General features: G+C 39.6%; 1 annotated feature.

Annotated features, from left to right (window-relative positions):
- Positions 1,617 to 1,837: a silencer, noted in NCBI's record as "fragment chr2:107206419-107206639 (GRCh37/hg19 assembly coordinates)". NCBI's record gives its function as "represses an EF-1alpha promoter that drives an FKBP-Casp9 reporter gene in an ReSE screen in phorbol 12-myristate 13-acetate-treated (for megakaryocytic differentiation) K562 erythroleukemia cells {active_cell/tissue: K562(+PMA)}" and the evidence as "EXISTENCE:reporter gene assay evidence [ECO:0000049][PMID:32094911]".

Here is a 25,941-nt window from a genome sequence, read left to right on the forward strand (position 1 = left end):
TTGTATACGAGTACTAAGTGATGAGCTGAAGGTGAAATAAGGATGTCTTTCAACATCCTTATTCACGTCTTTCAATGTCTTTTAGTGTCTTTGTGTCTAGTGCTGATGGGTTCATAATAGCATTAGCCGATATCGCAAGTCACACAGGCAGAGGTTTGCCACCAATGGTGGAAATATAACCATACTCCTCCTTGACAGTTACCGTTCAACTTCTCATTGCTTCTATCTTGACATGTGGTTGATGAAGAACTAGTATTAGAAGTAGTCTACTCGGGAGGCTGAGGCAGGAGAATGGCATGAACCTGGGAGGCGGAGCTTGCAGTGAGCTGAGGTCGTGCAACTGCACTCCAGCCTGGGCGGCAGAGCGAGACTCCGTCTCAAAGAAAAAAAAAATAGTAGTATTAGGACCCTTCTCCTAATATTAGTTATTTTTTTGAGGTTCACCTGGGCTGGCATTATTAGTACCATATTGAATCTATAGTGAATACACAAAAATCTTTTTAAAGCCACTTTTCCATCTCGTGAAGTTATTTTGTTTAAAATGAATCAGCAATCCAATCAACAATTGGCTCTGATATAAGCCCTTTCTTTATAGTGGCTGGATAATATTTTTAAAATATTGTTTGAAAGTCTGATTTCTTTTTCTACCTCCCTATTAGTCTTGAATATTACTACCGTTTACAAAACAGCTAGGTCGGTCTGGGATTCATTGCTTCTAGGAAGGAATGTTTTGATATTATTGTGTAAACATCTATATTAAAAAAAACCGTGAGAATTAATTCAGTATTATGACTAATAATAAAATTCACTAAGCTGGCTGAATACCAACATGTATGTACATGTACAAGTACATATGTGTACAGCACCATTCCCCTATGTCGGCAAAACCAGCTGGGAAATCGAGTTCATTCAACATGTATGTATTGAGTGTGGATTTTCCTCTAGGCCCCTTTAGCCTTGAGACTATAGCCTTGAACAAAGCAGATGAACCCCTGTTTTCACTGGCATTTATATTCCAGTAAAGATTGACAGAGAATTAACAAATAAGTAAAATATGCTAAGCGAGATGTGTTATGGCCCCTGGAAGATGCAGAAGTGAGGAAGAAGGAAGAAGATTGTGGGCGTGGGGCTGCAATTTTAAATAAGGGATCATGGAAGGCCTCATGGAGAAGATGTAAATTGGTAAAAACCCGGAGGTGGGGAAGGAGAGAGCCATACAGGTTTCTGGGGGGACAGCATGCCAGGCAGAGGGTAAAGCAAGTGCAAAAGCCTTGAGATAGAAAGCTTCCCATTCTGGAAGGAGCAGGAGGTCAGTGGGGCTGGTCAGAGTGTGTGCATAGGAGATGTGTTGTAGGAAATGGGTCAGAGAAATAGGTGGAAGCCAGGTCTCACAGGATTTCAGAGACTGTTGGTGAGACACACGGAGGCTTCAAAGAGGAGTGGCATCATCTGGCTTTTTTTTTTTTTTCCACGATGATAGCACACTGCAGCCTCTAACTCCTGGGCTCAAGTCATCCTCCTGCTTCAGCCTCCTGAGTAGGCGAGACAACAGTGTACCATCAATGCCCAGCTGATCTGGCTAAATTTTTAACAGGACATATCTGCCTGCAGAGCAGAGACTAGGCAAAAGATGGAAGAGCAGAAGTGACTTTGGAAGAGCTGATATTTTTTAATAATAAAATGATGTCATTCTTGGGCACCGTGTCCCTCAGAATCCTGAGGCTTATGGGCAGTCAGGGGAACTAGCATATCCTCAGCTATGTGCCTCACTTGTCAAATCTTTGCCTGCTCCTGCAATCTCACAAAGTCTTGCATCCTCTGAACCTTGTTAGTGCCCATTCCTCTGTTGTCTTTATGTCTTCTTCCCTAGGACTTGTCCTTAAAGCATCTTGCTTATGTATCTGCCTCCAACTTGGAGATCCTTTTGCCCTGATGCTTGTGGAACCACATTCCATTTGAGAAGAGGGCTTTTCTTTGTATTTGCCTAACCATGAATTCTATTTGGCTGTATATGGACACAGCTGTCTTTCTCCTCAATGTGAGTTTAGGTTCAGAGGACTAAGATGTGATGTCCAGTCAAAAACTGGGTTATGTAGTGGTGTACCTAGTTACAGATCAGAAGGTATCTTTGAATACAGGTTTTATGCTCCTAAATTTCTTTACCCTAAAAGGAGGCAGGGCCCTTGTGAGTGGATTAATGCCATTATTCCTGGAGTGGGTTCCTGATAAAGGGATGAGGTTTGGCCCTCTTCTTTCTCTTTCTCATCCTCACACCTCTGCCACCGGGTGATGCAGCACATGCTCTTGTCAGATGCCAGCACATGCTCTTGGACTTCCCAGACTCCACAAACATGAGTTTCTGTTCATTCTAAATTACCCAGTCTGTAGTTTTATTCTATAGCGGTCTAAAACAAAGACACCCCTACATATAGAAATACTTTTTGTATCAGGACTGATGTCATTTGAATAAACACACAGGCTACACACTGCACAGCTCTGGAGGGCATCGTTTATACAGGCTGGAATGAGGGTTGATATCTTTGGGATTAAACCCAAGGTGACCTAGATTATCTAAAAATTTGAAGCAAAATCTTTATAAATAAGTTACCTTTACTCTCCATGATGCATTGACATTATCCTATTTTCTCCTGTCCAATCCTGTCCTATCTTAACTATCAGTCCATTTTGCATTGCTATAAAGGAATATATGAAACTGGGTAATTTATAAAGAAAAGAGGTTTATTTGGCTCTGCAGACTGTACAAGAAGCATGGTGCCAGCATCTACTTGGGTTTTGGGGAGGCCTCAGGAAGCTTTTTCTCATGGCAGAAGGTTAAACAGGAACAAGTGTGTCATATGGTGAGAGAGGAAGCAAAAGAAAGAGGAGGTGGTACTGGGCTTCTACAAAAACCAGCTCCCATGTAAACTAATAGAGTGAGAACTCACTCATTACCGTAGGGAGGGCACCAAGCCATTCATGAGGAAGCCGTCCCCATGACAAACACCTTCCACCAGGCTTCACTTCCAACATCGGGGATCAGATCACATTTCAACATGAGATTTGGAGGGGGCAAATATCCAAACCATATCACTAACCTATGCTATCCTATTCCATCTCCTTCCATTTAATAAATGATGGTCAAGCCAGGCATGGTGGGTCATGCCTGTAATCCCAGTACTTTGGGAGGCTGAGGCGGGGAGATCACTTGAGGTCAGCAGTTTGAGACCAGCCTGGCCAACATGGCAAAAACCCATCCTACTAAAAATACAAAAACTAGCCTGGTATGGGGTCGTGTGCCTGTAGTCCCAGCTACTCAGGACGCTGAGGCACGAGAATTGCTTGAAGCTGGGAGACAGAGGTTGCAGTGAGCTGAGATTGCACCACTGCACTCCAGCCTGGTTGACAGAGAGACTCTGTCTTTAAAAAAAAAAAAAAAAAAAAAAAAAAAGATAGTCAAGACCCACTGCATAGGGTCCAATCAGGGAAGCAGAGCCACCATGAGTATTATAGAATATGAGATTGCTTATGGGGCTTGTTACTTTTACACAGTTACACAATTACAATTGTGGTGCCTGGGAAGCTTTGCTTAACTGGAGAAGTAAAGGTCTGAAAGAGGACAGTGATTCAGAACTACACAGGGGAGAAGTGGACAAGTCTGAGGAAAGCTGTCGCCTCTTCAGCTATTGAGGTCCTGAGGTGGTGGTTGTGGGCCCGCAGAGCAGGCAGCTGGGAACAAACACTGGACATAAGGTGGAGAAGGAGAAAGACTGGAACTCATGGAGATAAGCGAGAGAACACCCTGGAGCCTGGTCTGTCTCTCATGGAATCTAACTTTGAAGATGTGTTTGAACAGCAGAAAACTCATCTTGGAACTATATACATGTCTGGCCTGGGAGCACCGAAAGAGATTATCTGGCAGGTGCTGGGGGAGCTGCAGGCCAGGCTGCTACCCCGTGCAATCCCGCGTTAACAGGCTGAGCCGACACATCAGTGACAATGCGCATAATCCGCTGCTGTGTTGGGGCCGTATGTTGAGCTTCTGACCGTCATGGCAGCGGCTTCATGTCAATTTCCACATCTTGCACAGATTTCTCTTACAGCCAGCTCCAATCTGGTGTCATACATGGAAGGGAAATTTGGAAAATAGGGGTCTAGTTTACATAAGATTACAGTACAAAATCAGCCCCTCCAATAATGAGGTAGCTTCAGTGATGTGCTGGAGCCAGCTTGAACCAGCTCGTGGGAGCCAGTTGTTAAATTTTCAGGAATTTTGCTAGCCTGTAGTTAAGCACAACCATTGTTAAGGTTCAGTTATCTGAACTTATAATTATGCTAAAAGCAAGGACAATACAATACTCCAAACTCACGCTAATACTTTCAGTTTTGTCTATTGTATCTTAATGATGGGTAGCAAAGTCTTGGCTCAATTCTTCCAGGTTCCAGCTGCTACGTTTTCTGTTGGCTTACTGGGGTCTCACCCATACATTTGAAGTTTACTAGTCAGCCAGACATTTGGAGGATAATTGCATGTAGATTCTGGGGTATGCTTTCTCCCAGGATTTTCCTTATACTTTTCTAGCTGTTCTATCAGACTCTAAACTCTGTCTTCTAGCACTTCTTGCCAGAACAGCTACAATTTTCTGACCCTCAAAAGCTGTGCCCATGTATCGGGTGGTATCCATAGGCAAAAAGCCACAGACTCATACATGTTCCCTTCTAGGTTCCATCTTTCAAGGCTGGACATCCCTCCAGTTTCTGCTTGCATTAGCCTGGGCTCCAGGTGCCTTCCATAGTCATTTTGTTTGGTTTTAACTGTATTTTATTTCTGAAGGAGACTTAGTCTGATCAAGCTACTTTGCCATTACCAGAAGCTGGATTATTTCTGGTTATTCTGGGAATTCTAGTTATTTTTAAATTGAGATTAGACTTTATGCCTGAAAACACCTGGACAATAGAATTGCTGAGAAGAAGTCTCCTATTAATTTTTTTAAAGTGGTAGGGCAGGTGTCTTTTACTTCTGGTAGGCTTTTAGATTTTCCTCTCATCCCTAATGTTTTGCAGTTTCACCACTGTGTGTCCAGGTGTGATTTTATTTTAATTTTGTTTCTAAGAATTAATATATGGAATTGACTTAATTTTTCTAAATTAATTATGAACATGCAGTTTTAAGAAATAACACACAGACAACCTATATACCCCTCACCCAGTTTCCCCCATGGTAACATCTTGTGTAACTATGTAGTATGATTTCACAACCAGGAGGCTGACATTGATAGGATCCATTGACCTTACTCAGATTTCACCAGTTTTACATGCACTCATTTGTGTCTGTGTGTATTTTTTGTTCTATGCAATTTTGTCACCTGTAGATTCCTGTGATGTCACCACAGTCAGGATACAGAACAGTTTCATCCTAAGAATTTCTTTTGCTACCCTTTTATAGCACCACTTTCTAGTGACTGCCTACCACTAATCTGTTTGTTATTTTTTTTTTTACAATTTTAAAAATTGATGCATAATAGATGTACATAGTTTTGGGGGTGCATGTGATAATTTAATACTTTCATATAATTTGTAAAGATCAAATCAGTGCACTTGGGATATTCATCACCTTAAATATTTGTCATTTCTTTATGCTAGAAACATTGAATTATTCTCTTCTAGTTACTTTGAAATGTACAATAGATTATTATAAACTATAGTTGCCCTACTGATCTACAGAACACTCTTATTTTTTTGTTTTCTATCTGTATAAATTTATTTCAAAAACATTAAAGAACATTAAAAAGTTATGCATTATGTCGCCTTTGCAAAATATTTAACAAAATATTTAATAAAAATAAAAAATTTAAAATATTTAAATAAGTCTCAGTGGGACGGTTGATCTGAAGCAACTTAATTTGCCATGTCTGGGACTCGTCTTCAGAATTTGATTTAGTTTTCTGTGAACTAATATTAGAAACATGGCTTTTAATAATTTTCCTTTGCATTTCTCTCCTCTCAGTGTCTAAAAGAGACAAGCTTGAGCCCACTCAAACATTTTTCATGTTTGAATTGATTTTAAAAATGTGAGCCTTTTTTTAGTAGTGTTTTCTTCTGGAGGGAAGCATCCTTGGAGAAAAAAAGTGGAAAACATTCAAATAATCTTCACTATTTCTTGTAGATACCGCATATCATCTTCAGTTACCATGCTGGGTTCTCAATGAACCTTGCAAATTTCTGATGCTATCAGGATTTTCCGTTGCTCACTCAAGCTGTTGATTCTTGATTTAAAAATTCCTCTACTCATTGAGAATCTAAAGTGTATTCCTTGTTCAGTTTGGTTGTCTTAACTTGTAAACCTATATCTTTTATCATGATGCTGCTTTTGCTTTGTTCATTGTTCTCTAAAGTAAGTAGCTATATCTGCAGAGTGGGGCTTTCACAATAGCTTCTGAGATTGGCCCTCTGGCTTACTATATAGACTTCTGCTTGCCTGATGTTTTCTCACTGTTTTCTCATGTACATGTTAGAGGGATGAAGCTGCCTCTGGGAGCAAGTGGCTAACCTGCTGGGATTGCTTGCCTTTGGCATCCTGTGAGGTCAACCATGAAGTCACGACTTTCCAAGATTATAATGGAGCAATTGCTCATTTCCTCCATGTCCCCTCATCCTGTGTTACCAGGAAGCCCACAGACTGCCCAGGGACCAGGCTCATGGCTGGAAGTGGCAGCTTGAGGTTGGCCAGACCACACCCTCACTATGATCTCCACAAATACTGTTTTTGGGATGTCTGTTACACAGATATTGGAGCCTCTCACTCTGTCCTCCATAAATCCTACCTGCTCTTCCATACATTCTTTTCTCTATGTATATGATGCATTCTGGGTGAATCTCTTGGTACCTCTATTAGTCCATTTCACACTGCTGATAAAGACATAGCCAAAAATGGGCACTTTACAAAAGAAAGAGGTTTAATGGACACACAGTTCCACATGGCTGGGGAGGCCTCACAGTCATGGCAGAAGGTGAAAGGCATGTTTCATAGGATAGCAGACAAGAGAGGAAAGCTTGTGTAGGGAAACACCCCTTTTGAAAACCATCAGCTCTTGTAAGACTTATTCACTATCATAAGAAGAGCATGGGAAAGACCTGCTCCCATGATTCAATTATCTCACACAGGGTCCCTCCCACAACATGTGGGAATTATGGGAGCTACAATTCAAGATGAGATTTGGGTGGGGACACAGCCAAACCATATCAGTACCATATTCCAATTAAATAATTTTTCCCTATTGTGTCCAGTTTACAGTTTATCCCATTAACTGAGTTTACTTATTGCATTGATAATTTTTTTATTTTCCAAATTTATAATTTTTTATACTTATCTAACATTTTATAAATTTATTTTATACTTTTATTGATGGAAGCCATGTTTTTATCATCTTAGATATCATAATTATACTTATTGAACACAATGCTTAATCATTAATTTCAGCTGGTGTGAACTCACAGTCCTATTTTTAAAATGTTATTGACTGTTTTTCTTAGAGAATAGCTCCTTTGAGTTGGATATTTTCTTGCTTTTGTTCAGTTCTATTCTTTATTTGCTTTTCCCTGAGTCTCTTTTCTTATCTGCTAATTTCCTAGTTTTGCTCTTGCTTTCAGCCAGCCCCTAAAGCCTGCTTGCCTTAAGTAAATACCATGATGGATTTCAAGGACTTCTGTTCCATTATGATACTGGGAATATTATTTAAAATAACTAGAGGTAGCTAGGTTTAGTTTCTCATCTGGAGTTCACATTTTTGCCAACCACAGAGAGAAGGTGGCCATAGAGTAAGTGGTCAGCTTAGTTCTTAGTCAGCAACCATGAGCTGGCTCCAAGATACCTTCTTGCTAAAGAACTTCTAGTGCTTGTTCCCCTGCAGTAGCCAGGTTACTATTCACCTATCTCTTGTGACCCTGAAGGCTAGGAGGCCCACAGCCTCTGCTCCTCTTATGACCTGGTATTTGTCTTTTGATTTGGTTCACAGAACTGTTTTCTTGGTTTTCAGTCCAGCTATAGTATTTGGGTTAACTCTTTCTGTATTTTACCATATTGCTGGGGTTTGGCACAGAGAGTATGGTCTTAGCAAGGATACCTAATCTCTCTAGATAATCTGAAAAACTGGGATGATAGTAATGTTCTTTACTTTGTAGGGTTGTGTTAAGAATCAAATCAGTTAGTGCATATAAAACGCTTGGCACATAGTTATTTTTACCACAGTATAAATAATACCTAGCACAAAGTACATGATTGATAAATATTTATAGGGTAGAGTGGATTCGTTTAATACAAACAAATGTATGAGGCTCTCCTGGTTACATCTGATAATGATTGTATTAGTCAAGGTAAGCTAGGTTATGCTGCAGCCACTAACAACTTCTGAATCTTAGTAGTTTATAACAACAAAGGTCTGTTTCCGACTCTCACTGCCTGCCCATCACAGAAAAGTTGGGCTTTGCTCTGCTCTATTTTTATCCATACTCTGGGTCCCAGGTCTTTGGAGGAGTCGCTTGCTGGAACACTTAGACACTATGGTAGTAGGAAAAGAGAATGGCCCTTAGCACTTCCTCGGCAAAGTGGTAATTGATGATACTGCTCACATTCTTACCAAAACAAGTAATGTGATCATTTGTTCGGTGGGGCCAGAGATGCAATTCTACCATGTGCCCACAAGGGGAGAACTGAATATTTGTAAGCATCGTGATGATTTCTGCAATGATCACCATGAATAAACATTGACTGGATGCTTACTTTGAAGTAAGGTATTGTACTAGTCTACAAAGAGGTGGAAGTAACTTTTAACAACAGGACTCTTTTGATAATAGCACCTTTATCCTTACTCAAGAATAAAATTTTTAGTAGTTGGTGACAAGTATAAATTCCTGGCTATAAGAAAAGAGACATGATCGCGGTCTTGGCAAAAATACCATTCCAGTGCAATAACACATTTGTTATAAAGTCTTGGAACTATATGATCTGTTGAAATATTTATGGTTGAATTTAACTCTTTGAAATAAAAACACATCTCATACAGTGACAGATACAAGGTATGGCCATAAACTAGAGTCTTAGAGAAAACAATGCATCTTATGGTAAATGATTAGATGCATGCAGTAATTGCTGTAAGCATACCTACTCCAAATTTTCCCGTGTACCACCTGCAATCCTTGCTACAAAATGAAATCATTACCAGCTCAGTAAAAGAATGATTAATATTTTTGTGAAGTGGGTTTCTCATATCCTTGGCCTTTCTGCTATGTTGCTATAGCCTCACTTTGAGCTGAGGAAAGAGAACTGTTGGTGTATTGGGTTAAATGCTTTTATTTTAAAATCTAATTTTCTCTTCAAAGATACCTCGTAGACACATCATGTGCATGCTTTAAGGCTGCAGGTACCTGTGAAGTTTCCTCATTTTTATAACTAAAGGTTTTTAAGTCTAGTAAATTAAACTTCAAGAAATAAAATGAGAACTCAGTTAATAAGCTGACAGTCTGCCCATTGAAATTGCTGGAGGCTTTTTAGGTTCTAATGTACTAATTTCATTTCCTTACTAGTGTTTGCAATTTGGCTGGGCTTAGAAGCAGATTTGGTTTAAATTGAAGGTGGGAAAGGAAAGAGATGATGTTCTAACATAAAATAAGAGCATTTACTTGTCATTTCACCCTTACAGATTTATTGTTCTGGATTTTTAATTTACCTTTTGGTCTTTGAATTCAAAGTAAATATCCTGCAGAATATGATTTAATAACAATATATGATCTACTGTCTTTAAGGGAGTTATTGGCAGCCAAAAGAGGAGGACACTGTGGGAATAAGACAAAGACCAGGCTTCTGGATGTATATATAGTGTGTGTATGTATGTATGCATATAACATGAATGTGTATAATTAAGTTTGCATGTGTATAATTAAGTTTGAATGTATGCAATGGGTGTGCAAGAATGCATGTAAGTTTGTATGTATGTAATGCATGTGTGTATGTATGGACATACACGTGTGTAATTGTATGCAATGTAAATGTTATGTGTTCATATATAATGTAAGTGCAACATATAATGTATATATACATGTGATGTGTATATGTACGTATGCATGTAGTTTCGTTTGTATATATATATATACAGAAATACATCTATCATTGGATCCCATTGAAGCTCTGCTTTTGCAGGATGTGACATATTTAGTTTTCAGCATCAGATGTCTCTAATTTAATTTTCATTTTAAAGTTGCTTTTGATGTTCTAATTCTTTTGTATTTCTACATACATTTTATAAGCAATTCGTCAATTTGTACGTAATAGCTTGTTGGGATGGAGTGGAGTTGCATTACAGCTATAGGTTTAATGAAGCCATTAAATGAACCAAAAGTTGACTTTGTTGGAAAGTTTTTAACTATAAATTCAGTTTCTTTTTTTTTAATTATTAGTATTTTTTGAGACGGAATCTTGCACTGTCTCCCAGGCTGGAGCGCAGTGGCGCAATCTAGGCTTACTGCCAGCTCCACCTCCCAGGTTCATGCCATTCTCCTGCCTCAGCCTCCCAAGTAGCTGGGACTACAGGCACCCACCACCATGCCTGGCTAATTTTTGTATTTTTAGTAGAGACAGGGTTTCACTGTGTTAGCCAGGGTGGTCTTGATCTCCTGACCTCGTGATCTGCCTGCCTTGGCCTCCCAAAGTGCTGGGATTACAGGTGTGAGCCACCGCACCTGGCCAGTTTGTTTAAAAGATACGTAAGTGTTCAAGTTATTTCTGAGCTAGATTTGATAGTTTTTATCTTTCAAGGAATTTGTCAAATTTATTGACATAGGATTTCGTAATATTCTTTTTATTCTTTTCTAACAGCTTGAGATAGAATTTGTATACCATACAATTCAAGTAAAGCATACAATTTAATGGTTTTTAGTATATTCGCGGACATATACAACCATCACCTCAGTCAATTTTAAAACATTTTCATCACCTCAAAGGGAAACCCCATGACCTTTAGTTATCACCACCCTATACTCCCCATCTTAGCCCTGAGCAACACCAACTCCTTTTTGTCTCCTTACTTGGGACTTCTACATGAATGGAATCATATAGTATGTCATCTTTTACAACCAACTTCTCTCACTTAGCATATCATTTTCAAGATTCATAAGTATTGTAGCCTACATCAGTAGTTTACTTATTTTTTTTGACCAAATCATATTTCATTGTATGGATATACCACATTTTGTTTATCTGTTCGCCTGTTGATGGGCACAGCTTGTTTTCACCTTTTGTCTATTTCAGTAGTATTGTTACAAATATTCATGTACAAGCTTTTGTGTGGACATATGCTATTAATTCTTTCTTTGGATATATGACTGGGAGTGAAATTGCTGAGTCATATGGTGACTTTTTACTTAATCTTTTGATAAACTGCTAGATTGTTTTCCAAAGCAACTTTGCGATTTTACGTTCTCACTAGCAGTGCTGAGGGCTCCAATTTTCCCATAATCTCACTAACATTTGTAATTATCTGACTTCTTTATTGTAGCCATCCTAGTGCTAGTTGAAGTGATACCTTACTGTGGTTTTGACTTGCGTTTCCATGATGACTAATGATGTTGAACATCTTTTTATATGCTTATTGGCTATTTGTGCATCTTCCTTGAAGAAATGTATATCCAGGTCCTTTGCCCATTTTAAATCTGTTTTTTTCTTTTTATTATAGATTTTTAAAAGTATTTATATGAGTATATCTTAGATTATTTAATAATATTTTTATTGTTGAGTTGTTCTTTTGAATCCTGTATATACTCCAGATACAATTCCCTGATCAGATATATGGTTTGGAAATATTTTCTCTCATTTTGTGAATTGTCTTTTTATTTTTTTGATGGTATCCTTTCAGGTAATAAGTTTTCCATTTTGATGAAGTCCAATTTATCTATTTTATATTTTGTTGCCTGTGCTTGTAGAGTCATATCCAAAAAATTATTGCCAAATTCAATGTCATGAAGATTTTTCCCTATTTTCTTTTAAGAGTTTTATAGGTTTGGCTCTTACATTTAGGTCTTTGAGCCATTTTAAGTTACGTTTTGCATATTATATAAAGTAAATCTCCAAGTTTGTTCTGCAGGTGGCTATACAAATGACTCAGTGCATTTGTTGAAAAGACTATTGCTTCCCAATTGAATGGCCTTGGCACCCTCATCAAAAATCGGTTAACCATAGGTGTATGGGTTTATTCTAGACTCTGAATTCTATTTCACTGATCTACATGTCTATTATCATGCTAATACTACACTGTCTTGATTACTGTTGCTTTATTCTAAGTTTTGGAATTGAGAAGTATACATTGTTCTATTTTGTTCTTCTTTTGCAAGAGTGTTTTTGCCATTCTGGGACCCACCCATGAAATTCCACATGAATTTTAACACTGGCTTGTTAATTTCTATAAAGAAGCTCCCTAGGACTCTAATAGTTATTGCCTTGAGTCTGTAGATCAATTTGGGAAGTACTGGCATCAGTGTTAGTCCATTTTTATGTCACTATAAAGCTATATCTGAGACTAGGTAATTTATAAAGATAAAAGTTTTAATTTGCTAATGGTTCTGCAGGATGTACAAGCATGACAACATCTTGGCTTCTGGTGAGGACCTAAGGAAGCTTACCATCATGGTGAAAGGTGAAGCAGGGGCAGGTAGGTCACATAATGAGAGTAGGAATGAGAGAGAGAGAGAGGAGAGAGAGAGGTGAGGTGCCACACTGTTTTAAATAACCAGTGCTCCCATGAACTCAGAGTGATAATTCCTTGTGATCACAAGGACCACACCAAATATTCATGAGGGATCCACTCCTGTGACCCAAGCACCTCCCACCAGGCCCCACCTCCAACACTGGAGATTACGTTTAAATATGAGATTTGGAGGGGACAAACATCCAAAGTATATCATTCCACCCTGCTCCTGCCAAATCTCGTGTTCTTCTCACAATGCAAAATATAATCATCCATTCTCAATAGTTCCCCAAAGTCTTAATTCGTTTCAGTTTTAATTTGAAAGTCCTAATTCCCAAGTCTCATCTGGAGATTTTTTTTTTTTTCCCCCACTAAGAGCCTATAAAACTGAAACAAGTTATGTTCTTCCAAGAGACAGTGCAGGTACCAGCATTGGGTAAACATTCCTGTTCCAAAAGGGAGAAATTCACCTAAAGAAAGGGGCTATAAGTCCCATGCAAGTTGGAAACCCAGCAGGGCATTTATTAAATCTTAAAGCTACAAAATAATCTCCTTTGACTTCACATCCCACATCCAGAGCACAGTAGTGTCAGAAGTGGGCTCCCAAGGCCTTGGGCAGCCCTGCCCCTGAGGCTTTGCAGGGTCAGCCCCTGTGGTTGTTCTCACCGGCTGGTGTTGAGTGCCTTGGCTTTTCCAGGTGCAAGCTGTTGGTGGATCTCTATTCTGGGGTTTGGAAGATAGTGGCCCTCTTCTCACAGCTACACTAGGCAGTGCCCCAGTGGGGACTCTGTGTGGGGACTCCAACCCCACATTTCCCCTCATCACTGCCTTACTAGAGGCTCTCTGTGGGAGCTTCCCCTATGGCTGGCTTTTGCCTGGGCACCCAGGATTTCCCATACCTCCTCTGAAATCTAGGGGGAAGCTGCCAAGCTTCTTTCATGCTTATATTCTGTGCAACTATAGGCTTAACACCATGTGGAAGCCACCAAGGCTTATGACTTGTGCCCTTCAGAACAGAGACACAAGCTGTACTGGAGGCCCTTTGAGCCTCAGCTGTAGCTAGAGCCGCTGGGATTCAGGAAACAGTGTCCTGAGGGTGAGCAGGGCAACAAGGCCCCAGACCTGACCCCTGAAACCATTCTTTCCTCCTAGGCCTCTGGGCGTGTGATGTAATGTGTTGTCTCTAAGATCTCTGAAATGTTTCCACAGCCTTTTTCCCATTGTTTCGGATATTAGCACTTGACTCTCTTTTAGTCATGCGAATCTCCTTAGCAAATGGTTGCTACATAGCCTACTTACATTCCTTTTCTGAAAATGGTTTTACTTTCTGTGCCACATGGCTAGGCTGAACTTTTATGCTCTGCTTCCAACTTTAAGTCATTTCTTTGCTTCTGTATCTGATCATAGGTTGTTAGAAACAGTCCAGCCACATCTTGAATGCTTTGCTCTTTATAAATTTATTCCATTAGATACCCTAAGCCATCACTCTTAAGTTCAAACTTCCATAGATCTCTGGGACATGGACATAAATGCAGCCAAGTTCTTTGCAGGGATGTAACAGGGGCGACCTTTACTGTAATTTCTAATAACTTCTGCATTTCCATCTGAGAATTCATCAGCACAGCCTTCACTGTTCATATCTCTGTCAGCATTTTGGTCACAACCGTTTAACCAATCTTTAAGAAGTTCCAAATATTCCCTCATCTTGCCATCTTCTTCTGAGTCCTCCCAACTCTTCCAGCCTCTGCCTGTTACCCAGTTGCAAAGCTGCTTCCATATTTTCAGGTATCTTGACAGCAACACCCCACCCCTTGGCAGTAATTTTCAGTGTTAGTCCATTTTTTCATTACTATAAAGGAATACCCGAGACTGGGTAATTTATAAAGAAAAGAGATTCAGTTGGATCACAGTTGTGCAGACTGTACAAGCATGACACCACCATCTGATTGGCTTCTGATGGGGGTCTTAGGAAGCTTATAATCATGGTAAGGCAGGCACATCACATGGTGAGAGTGGGAGCAAGGGAGAGAGAGGGTTGAGGTGCCACACATTTTTAATCCATCCGATCTTGCAAGAACTTAGAGCAAAATCTCATTATCACAAGGACAGCACCAAGCCATTCATGAGAGATCCACTGTATGACCCAAACACCTTCCACCAGGCTCCACCTCCAACATTAGAGATTACATTTCAGCATGAGATTTGGAGGGGACAAACATCCAAACTGTATCACCATACTAATGCCAAATCTCCTGATTCATTTATGTTTATTTCCCATTTATTTTGATTTTCTATAATTTTTAAAACAATGTTTTGTAGTTTTTTTAGAGTATAAGTTTTGACTTCTTGGCCACACTCACCAGAAATTAGTCTCTGCAGGTTGAGTTGGAGGATAAGAGAAATAGTGGCAGCCTGCCCATCCTGGGAAGACACATAGCAGTTTTCTGGAAAATCAGGAGTAAAGGGCCCTCTTCTTTGTTACACTCATGTGGAGCAGAGCTCCTGTCAAGCTGTGTAGCAGGAGAGAGAGAGCAGTTTGTGGCTTAAGAGCTATAGATCTTCACTATTTTACTTGAGTTTAGTAGATTTGAATAAATTATTCTTGGGTAATTCTTCTTTAGCTAAATTGTTCCTTAGGACAATTTCCAAGGTTTTAGATGCTTTGGTTTTTTTTTTTTTTTAATAGTTTCTACTAGTTATGCTTTTATCAGTGGATATGAGTTCATGGAGCTCTGCATGCTGCCAGCCTCCAAATGGAACCTTTTTAATCATCACTTTAAAAAGCCCCAGAGGATGCACACATAAGAGCCTAAGGCTCCCTGGGAATTGCAGGCCTGAGAATCCACCTGACACCAGTGCTTCAGTCCTGAACAATTGTAAGGTTGGCATTACTATTCACTGAATGGGAAAGCCTGCAGCAGAAGCTGGTTTAGGTGCCATATGAGGAGTTTGATTTTGGAAATGCTGAATTCAAAATGCCTGTCAGACATCCACATGAGATATAAGTGGGAAGATAGGTGTACAATCCTAAAACTTAGACAAGAGGCCTTTGATAGGGGTTTAATTTTGAGAAAGAACCATTTAGAAATAAGACTACTTAAAGTGACTCATAAAAATCATTTGCCCAGGTAAGATCTGACTTACTTCTGTTTTCCTGGTGTAACTATTAATGGCACCCTCTTTCTTAAATGTCCTTATTTAGAGAACAACTTACATGGTTATCCTCTTCATGAAGTGAATAAAATATTAAATCAAAGATGCCCATAATTATTTATGGCATCACACATTTTGGTGAAATAATTCAATAATGTCTTTTGTATAATGATATATTTAAATTATTTTGAGGAAGTTTTTAAGATAAAATTGTAGATACATACCTTTTGCATATTCCTTGATGATAAAAAAAAGGCATTGAACTTTTGTAAAGTGGACTTTTTTATTGGAATATCACAGATCTATAAAACATGAAATATTGTAACTAAATTCAATTAAGAACAGACAATCAATTCAGAAATCTTGAAGAATGTGGGCTCACTGGTGGAAAAAATAATTTAACAGACCTAAAGTTAATGCAGTTTGATGAATGAGAATCTTTCAAGAGTCACAGTATATTAGCATTTGATGTTGATGCTTTTAAAATACTGAGAATCATTTCGGTCAAATATTTCTCCTATTTGTGCTTTAGTTTTAGTGACTTAAATAGTGTCTAGCACATTGTATTAGTTCGTTGTCACACTGCTATGAATAATTACCTGAGACTGGGTAGTTTATAACGAAAGGAGGTTTAATTGACTCACAGTTCTGCAGGCTGTACAGGAGGCATGGCCAGGGAGGGCTCAGGAAATTTACAATCATGGCAGAAAGCAAAGGGGAAGCAAGCACATCTTTGCATGGCAGCAGGAGAGAGAAAAGGGGGAAGTGCTACACATTTTCAAACAGTCAGATCTCATGAGAACTCCATCATTATCAAAAAACAGCAAGGGAGAAGTATGCCTATATGCTCCAATTACCTCCCGTCAGGTTCCTTCCCTGACGTTGGAGATTACAATTTGACATGAGATTTGGGTGGGGACACAGAGGCAAACCATATCACACATAGTCCATAATCAATGCATACATGTTGAATGAGTGAAGAGATAATTTAATGTGATAAGACACTGTATCAGCTGTAATATATGGAATGTGTATGCTTTAATCAATTTTTTGAAAGACTACTGTGTTAAAGAAAGATAACATAATAAGGAAGGGTTAGTTAAGGTGGATAGATCTTCATAAACTCAAGTTTATGAAGTTTAGCCTCAACTGGGGCCCTAGAGTGATGACCAACTGGCACTAAGTTCCCTTTAGGGGCCCAATTCAGGTCCATTGTATAATTGCTCACTTCCAGTCATAGAGGATAGTCTTTGAACAGGAGAGACGGAGATGCCTGGAATAAGGTAAGTAATCACACTTGCAAAATGTATTAGAATGGGCTATTATTTCGATTGTACATGACTCAACGCAGATAAATCAAGCATTAAGAATTTTTTAAAAAGTCAGGGTAATGAGTTTCATTTTACTACTCTTTCTAATTTTGCTGTTTGAAAATTTTTATAATAAAAAATCTAAATGTAGATTACCACCAATTTGAACCAGTTGAGTTTATTAAATTCCTTGCACCCATGCTAATAGTAAAATAGAAATTTATATAAAGTATGTCGTACAGTACAGGGTTGTATGCACATATGTTTCATAAGCATTAGAAAATGGCATTGATATATCTAAATTAGTAATATTCTCCATTCATGGCATGGCTATTACTCAGGTTATCTAACTTGTTAATTTGAAGATATTTGGTTCAAGGGTCTCAAGGAATAAGCAGGTACTTTTAAGGAGGTGAGGTCTCAATCTTTGTTTATGACTATTTTCAACTACTGTGAGAGAAAAGAAAATATTACCAATCTATGTATGGAAGATTATTGTGTCCATTATTGTTTCTAATATTACCACCAGTTTTTCAGAGTTCATTCACAATTTACAAAACAATTGCTTTAAATAAGATTATCTTATTTTAATTTGCATTGTACAATGGCATACACTCAGTAACTAATTAAAATGGTTTCACATGGTGTTTTTTTGGTCATAAGGTCATATTGCAAGGAGTGGTGAAGATCTAAACAAATGGGTTCATTAAAAAAATCAAGTATTGATGGCTTCACTTCTGTGGCCATGATGATACAAAAATTCCTCCATTGTTTATTGTCCTCTCCCCCAAAAGTCAGTACAATATTGTACCACAGGGAGCCAACAGGGTTATGTGGAGGTATCAGGGAGAAAGTGGAGGGAAATCAGAAGAAACTAAAGTGAGGAATAGGTGTGTAAAATGAGATTCATTGTAATATACAGTTATCCCTTGGTATTCACAGGGGTTGGTTCCAGGACCTCCATCAAATACCAAAATTCAAAGATGCTCAAGTCCCTGGTATAAAATGGCACATGGCATTTGAGCATCACCTATGCACACCCTCCCATACACTTTAAGTCATCTCTAGATTACCTATAATGCCTAATGCAGTGTAAATGCTGTGTAAATAATTCTTACACTATATTTTTTATTTTTATCTTGTTTCACTGTTGTTTATTTATTGTGTTTTTTTCTTCTGAACATTGCTGAATCACACAATGCAGATGGGGGGATTAATTGTCAGTGAGGACATGTAGGGGAGAGTGTGGAATCTAAGAAGCAAATTATTTATGGACGAGCAGCAGTTGCTAACCGTTTTATGGTTTGAATTTACTGTAGCCTGACATCCATCAGGAAAGTGTTCTGTGCTTAAATGGATTCCTTGCTGATCTCAATCGTTCTGAAGCAGCAAGGGGAATACACATTTTTCTCAAACTATCCATTAGAAGCATCTATATCTAAGTAAGTGTACTGGACAGAAAGCTAAATTACATATAATATCTTTTTTGCAATTTGGAAAAAAATTACAAATGGACTAAAATGGCTTTGTCCAGATTACATAATTATGTATATTGTAATAACTTTTTGGCACAAAGAAGAAAATCCTTTTAAATAATACATGATATATAAGAGATTCAAATTTCATAAAAACCAAAAATGTAACAATGATCAACGGTGGCATGCCAAAGGTGGGACAGTAGGAATGCCCATCGTAGATTTATTTAGTAATGGGGAGGGGTGGAGAGGGTGGGGTTTGGGAGGTGGGAGTACATTATCAATGGAGAATAATAATAAAAAGAAAATCTAACCCGAATCTGTCTGCTTCTATTATTACTGTGCTTTGCCTTTTGTTGGCTTAAGTTCTAGATCAGGGCTGCAAACTTTTTCTATAAATGGCCAGCTAGAAAAGATGGTAGGCTTTACAAGCCCTACATGTCTGTTGCTGCAGCTCTACCTTGTATCTGGAAAGCAGCCATTGACAATAAGCAGATGATGGGCATGGCTTTATTGGCTCCTGCTTTCCCCAGGAAAAGAGCAGGTGTCCCCACCCAGAACTGTGTGCCTTCTGAGTGCCTGGTGTGGAGAGTGGCTTCCTTTCCATTGGCATCGGCCTTAGCCATGAGTCTTGTGAGCAGACAGGACCCACAATGCATCCATGTGGATGCTTTAGGAGTACAGTTGGGCTGCCTTTGACCTCTCCCCTCTGCAGTGAGATGAAGTACAGATGGACCAGCTCCTTTTACATGCAGGCCGGAATGAAGAAAACACTAGGGAGAGGAGCAAAAGTGCCTCTCTTTTGGAGCCGACTGTGAAGCTTTTTTGTATGGCAATGCAAGTTTGAGATAGCATGCTTCCACAGTAAAACTTAGTGAAAGACGATGGATATATTTTCATCTTAACCCGTATCAATCTTAGACTGTAGGAAGAGGGGAAGCCTGAAGGCAGTTTCAGAAACTGTTTTTTGCTCATGAGAAACATGATTTCACAGTATTTCCAACTTCTAAATGAGCTGCCAGGGAGCAGAATTTTAAAGCAATGGAACTTCTGTGAGACATTCAATTCTTCCTTCCACGTATTAATCCTCATCTACTGAAATAGCAAACTCAATAAAGATTTGAAATCATCCACTTATGACTTAGGTTAGACTAAAGCCTTACATCTCTTCTTCCAATAATCTCTATATAAATCTATCTGATGCTGTGATAGAGACCATTATTTTGCACCTACTGAACAGACTCATGCAGACTTCTGAGCAATATTTATTAAACTTAATTCCTTTTGTTGACTTCTGTAGGGGACAGAGATGGTTGGAATTATTTTAATATTATAAGCCTTACACAAATAGGCTGTAGTTCCAATATATTTTATTAGGAGAGAGAATTTGCCCAATAATAATTATTGATAGAAAGATGCTTGGAAAAAAATGTAATTTCAAGCCACTTGAAATCTAATTATATAGTTTCCATTTTGTTCCAATCAGTGCAAGATGAAGACAGGGATTTTGTTTCCATTGTAAATGGCTCAGAGTGGGTCATTGTCTTAGTCAGTTTGGAATGCTATAACAAAGTACCACAGACTGGGTGGCTTGTAGACAACAGAAATTCATTTCTCACAGTTCTGGAGGCTGGAAGTCTCAGGTCCGGGTGCCAGCATGGCCAGGTTCTGGTGAGGGCCCTCTCCAGGGTTACAGACTGCCAATTCCTCATTGTACCCTCATGGTGGGAAGAAGTCAAGAGAGCCTTCTGAGGCCCCCCCGTTTTTAAAACATTGTACTTATTTATTTGAGACAATGTCTTGCTCTGATACCTAGGCTGGAGTGTAGTGGTGACATCATAGCGATCACTCAAGTGATCTCACGCCTCAGCCTCCCCGCCCCCAGTGAGTAGTTGGGACTGCAGGTGTGCACCACCATGCCTGGCTAACTTTTTAAATTTTTTTGTAGAGAGGAGGTCTCACTTTGTTTCTCAGGCTGGTGTCAAACTCCTAGCCTAAAGCGACCCTCACACTTCAGCCTCCCAAAGTACTGGGATTGTAGGCAAGAGTCACTGCCTAGCCTGAGGTACTTTTTATAAGGCACTAATCCCATTCATAAGACTCCGCTCATGACCTGATCACCTCTCAAAGCCCCCACCTTATAATACCATCACCTTGGGCATTAGGATTTCAACATATGAATTTTGAGGGTACACAAGCATTCAGTCCATTGCCATTCTCAATAAACTGAATCCATCTAACAAATTCTTACTGAGCAATGTGCTAGACATTGGGTGTTCAATGATGAGCAGAGCAGACAGAAATTTTGCCATCATTGAACTCTGGAATAACACACACACACACACACACACACACACACACACCAGAGAGAGACGTGAATCAATTAATCACACAAACACAATTAACACTGCAATTCTCTTTAAGGATATGAAGAAGAAAAACATTGTGTTTGGAGAATGTATTACAGGGGAATTTGCCTAGCTTGAGGATCCAGGAAGGTTACCCTGAAGACTAGACATTTGATCTACTCTGGGAAGAGTAACAGTCACTAGGTAAAGAGACGTAAAGAAGTGTTCCAGGCAGAAGGGACGGTGTATACAGAAATCCTATGGTGGAGAAAGCATGCTGGATACTTATGCCTGAGGCAAGGCCAGCGTGTACCACCTGGTGGTAAACATGGTGCAAGATAAGACTAGAAGAGGGGGCCATACCCCACAGGCCTTGTAGGCCAAACTAAGGAATTTTATGTTAATTAGAGTGAGTTAATATTCCCCATGAGGAGGAGAGGCTGGATGCCACCAAATTGTGTTTGGAAAACCACTCTTGTAAGAGTGAAAGGTAACATAGCTGACTCCATCTTGCTTCCAACCTCATAAGCAAACTGCTTTTACTCATTCCTGAAAGTAGGCCAAGCTAACCATGAAAGGTATTTAGTTTATAGTTTAACTATAACGATGATTACAGTCTCTTCCCAGTACTACCCCTGAAAAGGTAAGGAGGGTGTGTACAAAAGTAATCACGTTTAAAGATTTATAGAAGCATTGTGACCTGACCAAGTGCAAAGACATTTTGCCAACTTCTCCAACCTCTGCTGACACCCAGATATCTGTGGTCACCTGTTACCTCCTGACTTCAATGCCCTCCTTATTCCCCTTCCACTAATATAAAAAGAAGCTTGAGATTCATGTCTTTTAAGATGATTCTGTAGGACATTAGTCCACCATCTTCTTGGTTTGCTAGCTTTCTGAAATAAAGTCACCTTCTTGCCCCAATACCTGTCTCTTGACTTGTTGGCTATCAAGTGGTGAATGGCACAAGCTTTAGACTCAGCTACACTCTGGCTGCAGGAAGTGAACAAATGGGATGCAGAGCAGGAGAGGGTGCAGGTGTACTATCTAGTAAGTTGCTGCAAGTGCACAGTTAGGAGATCATTGGGGTGATCCAGGTGAAAGTCTACTGGGTCATAGGCTAGGGATGGTGGCTGTGGAAAAGAGAGAAGACATTAAATTTGAGGTTAGCTTTTGACACACACAAGAAGAGATGTGAAATAAAGAGTCAAATATAGAGGTCTGGAGCTCAGAGAGTTCTGAACTGAGACACAGACAGGCAAGTCATTAATATCTTACACACAGATATCAGGTTATTTAGGGAGACAGTACACAGTGAGAAGCAGAGAGAGTTTAGGCTTGAACTCTGAGGGAGGCTAACTTTTATTATATTTTGCAGGTTTTCAGCCATAATTTCTCTGAATATGTGTCATACTCTTTTCTCTGTCTCCTGTCATTCTGTGACATCCATTATGCATATGTTGCTGTGCTTTACAGTGTCCTACATTTCTCTGGGCACTGGTTTTGGCAGGGGTCTTTTTGCCTGTTGCTTGTCCTGACCACACCCAACTGGTAGACTCTATTAATTGCTGGCTGATTGCCCTGTTGTTTTCGTCAATGCCCTGAGTCATCAATTGCCCCGTAGATCAAACCAATCATATTAGGCTTCTTTAAATGAATAATTTCTGTGGTCCATGTACGATATTTGTTCTGATCCCAGGCGGGTTCCTCCGGGCTATCTCTTTTCTGGGTTCTCTTGGGCAAACTAGCTGACCTGCAGTTTCTTGTGTATTTTCAATTAGTCTAATCTTTCAGTTAATCTATCTCCTCTTAGTTGGCTTTGATGATGACTTCCACTATTTTTGAGAGTGCCCTTAGGCTTGAACCTCTCTACACGCTGTTGCAAATGGAATCAGTTTCTTTGGGAAGGGATTAGTAGCTTCAGGTTTATGGCCTGTTTCTCCCCTTAGGCAAAACTTCTGAGCCAGGAATCTGTAGCTGAGGATGAGGACAACAGTGCACTTCTTTCTGAGCGACATTTCCACTAAAGGAGCTGAGTGCTTGGTGGAGGTAGCAGGCAGTAGATTCATGTCTTCTTGGCTTGCCTCTCCTGGCAAGGAACCAGTGCCTTATGAGCTAGCACAAAGGCAGTCCAGACCCTGGTATTCTCAAGGTAGAGCGTCTGTCATATGGGTGAGGGCTGGGCAGAAGAAGGGGGAGCTTGCACCTTTTGGCCATACTCACCTGGAACTTGGAGCCTCAACAACAGTTAGCTTGAGGCAGAATGAGAAATGCTGACATCCTTCCCCTCCTGGGAAGAAAGCCCTCTTACTAGCTGCTAGGAGGAGAGGAGCTGTTTTCTTGGCTGCCCCAGTCTGTAGTAGAATTTCTATCACACTGAATTGGGACAGGGGAGGAAGGGAGTGAGTTTCAATGTAAATACCACAGACTCACTATTCTTACCACATTTTTAAAGATTTTCTTCATTTATTTCTTCTTTTGCTGTATGCTTTTGGGACCATTTCCAGAAACTTTAAATGGTTGTTTTAAAAAGATGTTTGCCATTTTTGCTGGTGGCAGGGGTTGCGGGGGGGCAGATGTCTGCATGGTTTCTCATAGTGTGATGCTGGAAGTTTCTCTCTGAAAACCTAACTTTGAGCAGCAGGGATAGAAGAGAATCCCTGCTGTCCTTCAGCAAGCTGCTGAAGGAAAGAAGCATAGACCAGTGAGGTAGAGAAAAATGAGAAGCTGTGTCATCAAAGCCAGGAGACCATTTCTGATAGGTCAAGCAAGACTGAAAATGTGCATTGTGATGTACACAGGAAGTCAGAGGCATTGTTAGTTTTGGTGGATTGGTGGTTCTGGAAACCAGTTAGGAGTACGGTGGGATGGGAGCTAGGCAAAGAAGTGGATATAAAGACTATAGATAACTTTTGTATTTTTAAAATATAAAATATGTAATTAGAAAATAATGTGTAATGATCACCTATGTACCTGCCACCTAGCTTTATCAGTTCTTAATGTTTCATCATATTTGCTTTAGATTAAAAAAATATACAGAGTGACTCGACTTTCCCTGTATACTCCTTCTCAATCCCACTTCCTACCTTCCAGAGATAACCATTATTGTTAATTTGGTGTGTTTCACTTCTGTGTATTATATGTAATCCTATCACTTCATTTATATGTTTGTATAAATAACATACACTATTGCTTTGCAGGTCTGCAATCTGAATAGAAATGGTATTATATATCATATTGCTTTCTGCAACTTGCTTTTTTAAGCTCAATATTATACTTTAGAAATTTATTGATGTATCCATTGAAGATGTAGCTCAGGTTTATTTATATTATAAACATGCCTTAATTTAGCAACTTGCACTGATGAATGTTTAAAATGTATCCAAGTTTTTATAATTACAAACAGAGTTGCATTGAACATTCCTGTATGTGCCCCCTTGCATGCCTGTGTCCAACTATTCCTGGGAATGGGAATGCTGTGATGGGAGGTCACATACCTGGAGTTTTCCCAGAGCATGCTGGTGGCTCTCACAGTAACACCCACAGCAGTGAGCTTCTGTTACCTTCACATTCTCATCCTCAACACTTGGTGTTGTCAGACTTTCTAACTTGGCCTTTCAGATGGATGGGAAAAGGTATCTCACTGTGGCTTTAATTTGTTTTTCCTTACTTTTTTTTTCTTTAAGATGAGTTTTCACTCTGTCACCCAGGCTGGAGTGCAGTGGGGTGATCTCAGCTCACCACAACCTCTGCCTCCCAGGCTCAAGCGATCTTCCCGCCTTAGCCTCCTGAGTAGCTGGGACCACAGGTGTGTGCCAGCACACACAGCTATTTTTTTGCGTTTTGGGTAGAGACAGGGTTTTGCCATGTTGCCCAGGCTGGTCTCAAATCCTGAGCTCAAGTGATCCACCTGCCTCGGCCTCCCAAAGTGCTAAGATTACAGGCGTGAGCCACCACACCTGGCCTGTGGCTTTAATTTCTTTTCCCCATTACTCATGAAGTTGAGCATCTTTATGCTACTTTCTGGCAACTTGATTTCCTCTTCTGAATTGCTTTTTTATCTTGTTGCCTGTTCTTCTCTGGAGATTTTTATTATTTTCCTTATTGACTTACAGGAATTCTTTATGTATGCTGGGCTCTAATCTTTTGTCAGGAATGTGCATTACAAATACATTTTTCCAATCTGTGCCTTATTCCTCAGTTTGTTTTGTTGTCTTTCTTTGAACAGATGTGTTAAATTTTAATGTGTTCAGGCATATAAATGTCTGCTTTTATGGTTTGTTCTTATTGTTTTTGTTATTTGAAACAGGCTATTTTGTTTTGGTTTTCTCTTTTTATATTATCACTGATGTTAGAAGAGGGGGTGGATCAAAACATGAATTTATTACTCCATCTGGATATTCGAATTAGCTCTTAAAGACATGAAAGGCCAAAGGGAGATATGATACTGTGTTAGGTACAGTGAGGGTCACATTAGAGTGCACTTAAAAGTGTCAGGAACTTACAAAAAAACAACGGGAAGGATCTTATCAAAGTAGGAAATGGCTAATTCAAGCCAGCAGAAGGAATTCATCTACTCGGGATGAAGAGGTTGAATGTGCAGAGATAAGATTAGATTACTGTGCATATTCACACATAATCATTATATAGGTGTACTGGGTTCCTGAAAAACTGGAAAGCAGTGGAACAAATGGCCAGGGGAGTTCTGGCCCCAGATAGGAGGAAGGGCAGCATCCCTACTGTTAATGAAAGACGGGAAGCCGGGGTGTGTGAGATGCACCTGGTTCGGAAGGCGAGGCTGTCTCACCTGACTTCTTTTTCTCTGCAAATAGAAATAATTCATCCTCTGCTGAGAAAGAGGCTGGGATGGAAGAAGAATGATGACTTTCATCTTTTGAGAAAAGCAGAGCAACTATGAAACACT

The sequence above is a fragment of the Homo sapiens genome, chromosome 2 (genome assembly GCF_000001405.40).
Source record: "Homo sapiens chromosome 2, GRCh38.p14 Primary Assembly".
In the NCBI taxonomy this organism is placed as follows: Eukaryota; Metazoa; Chordata; class Mammalia; order Primates; family Hominidae; genus Homo; species Homo sapiens.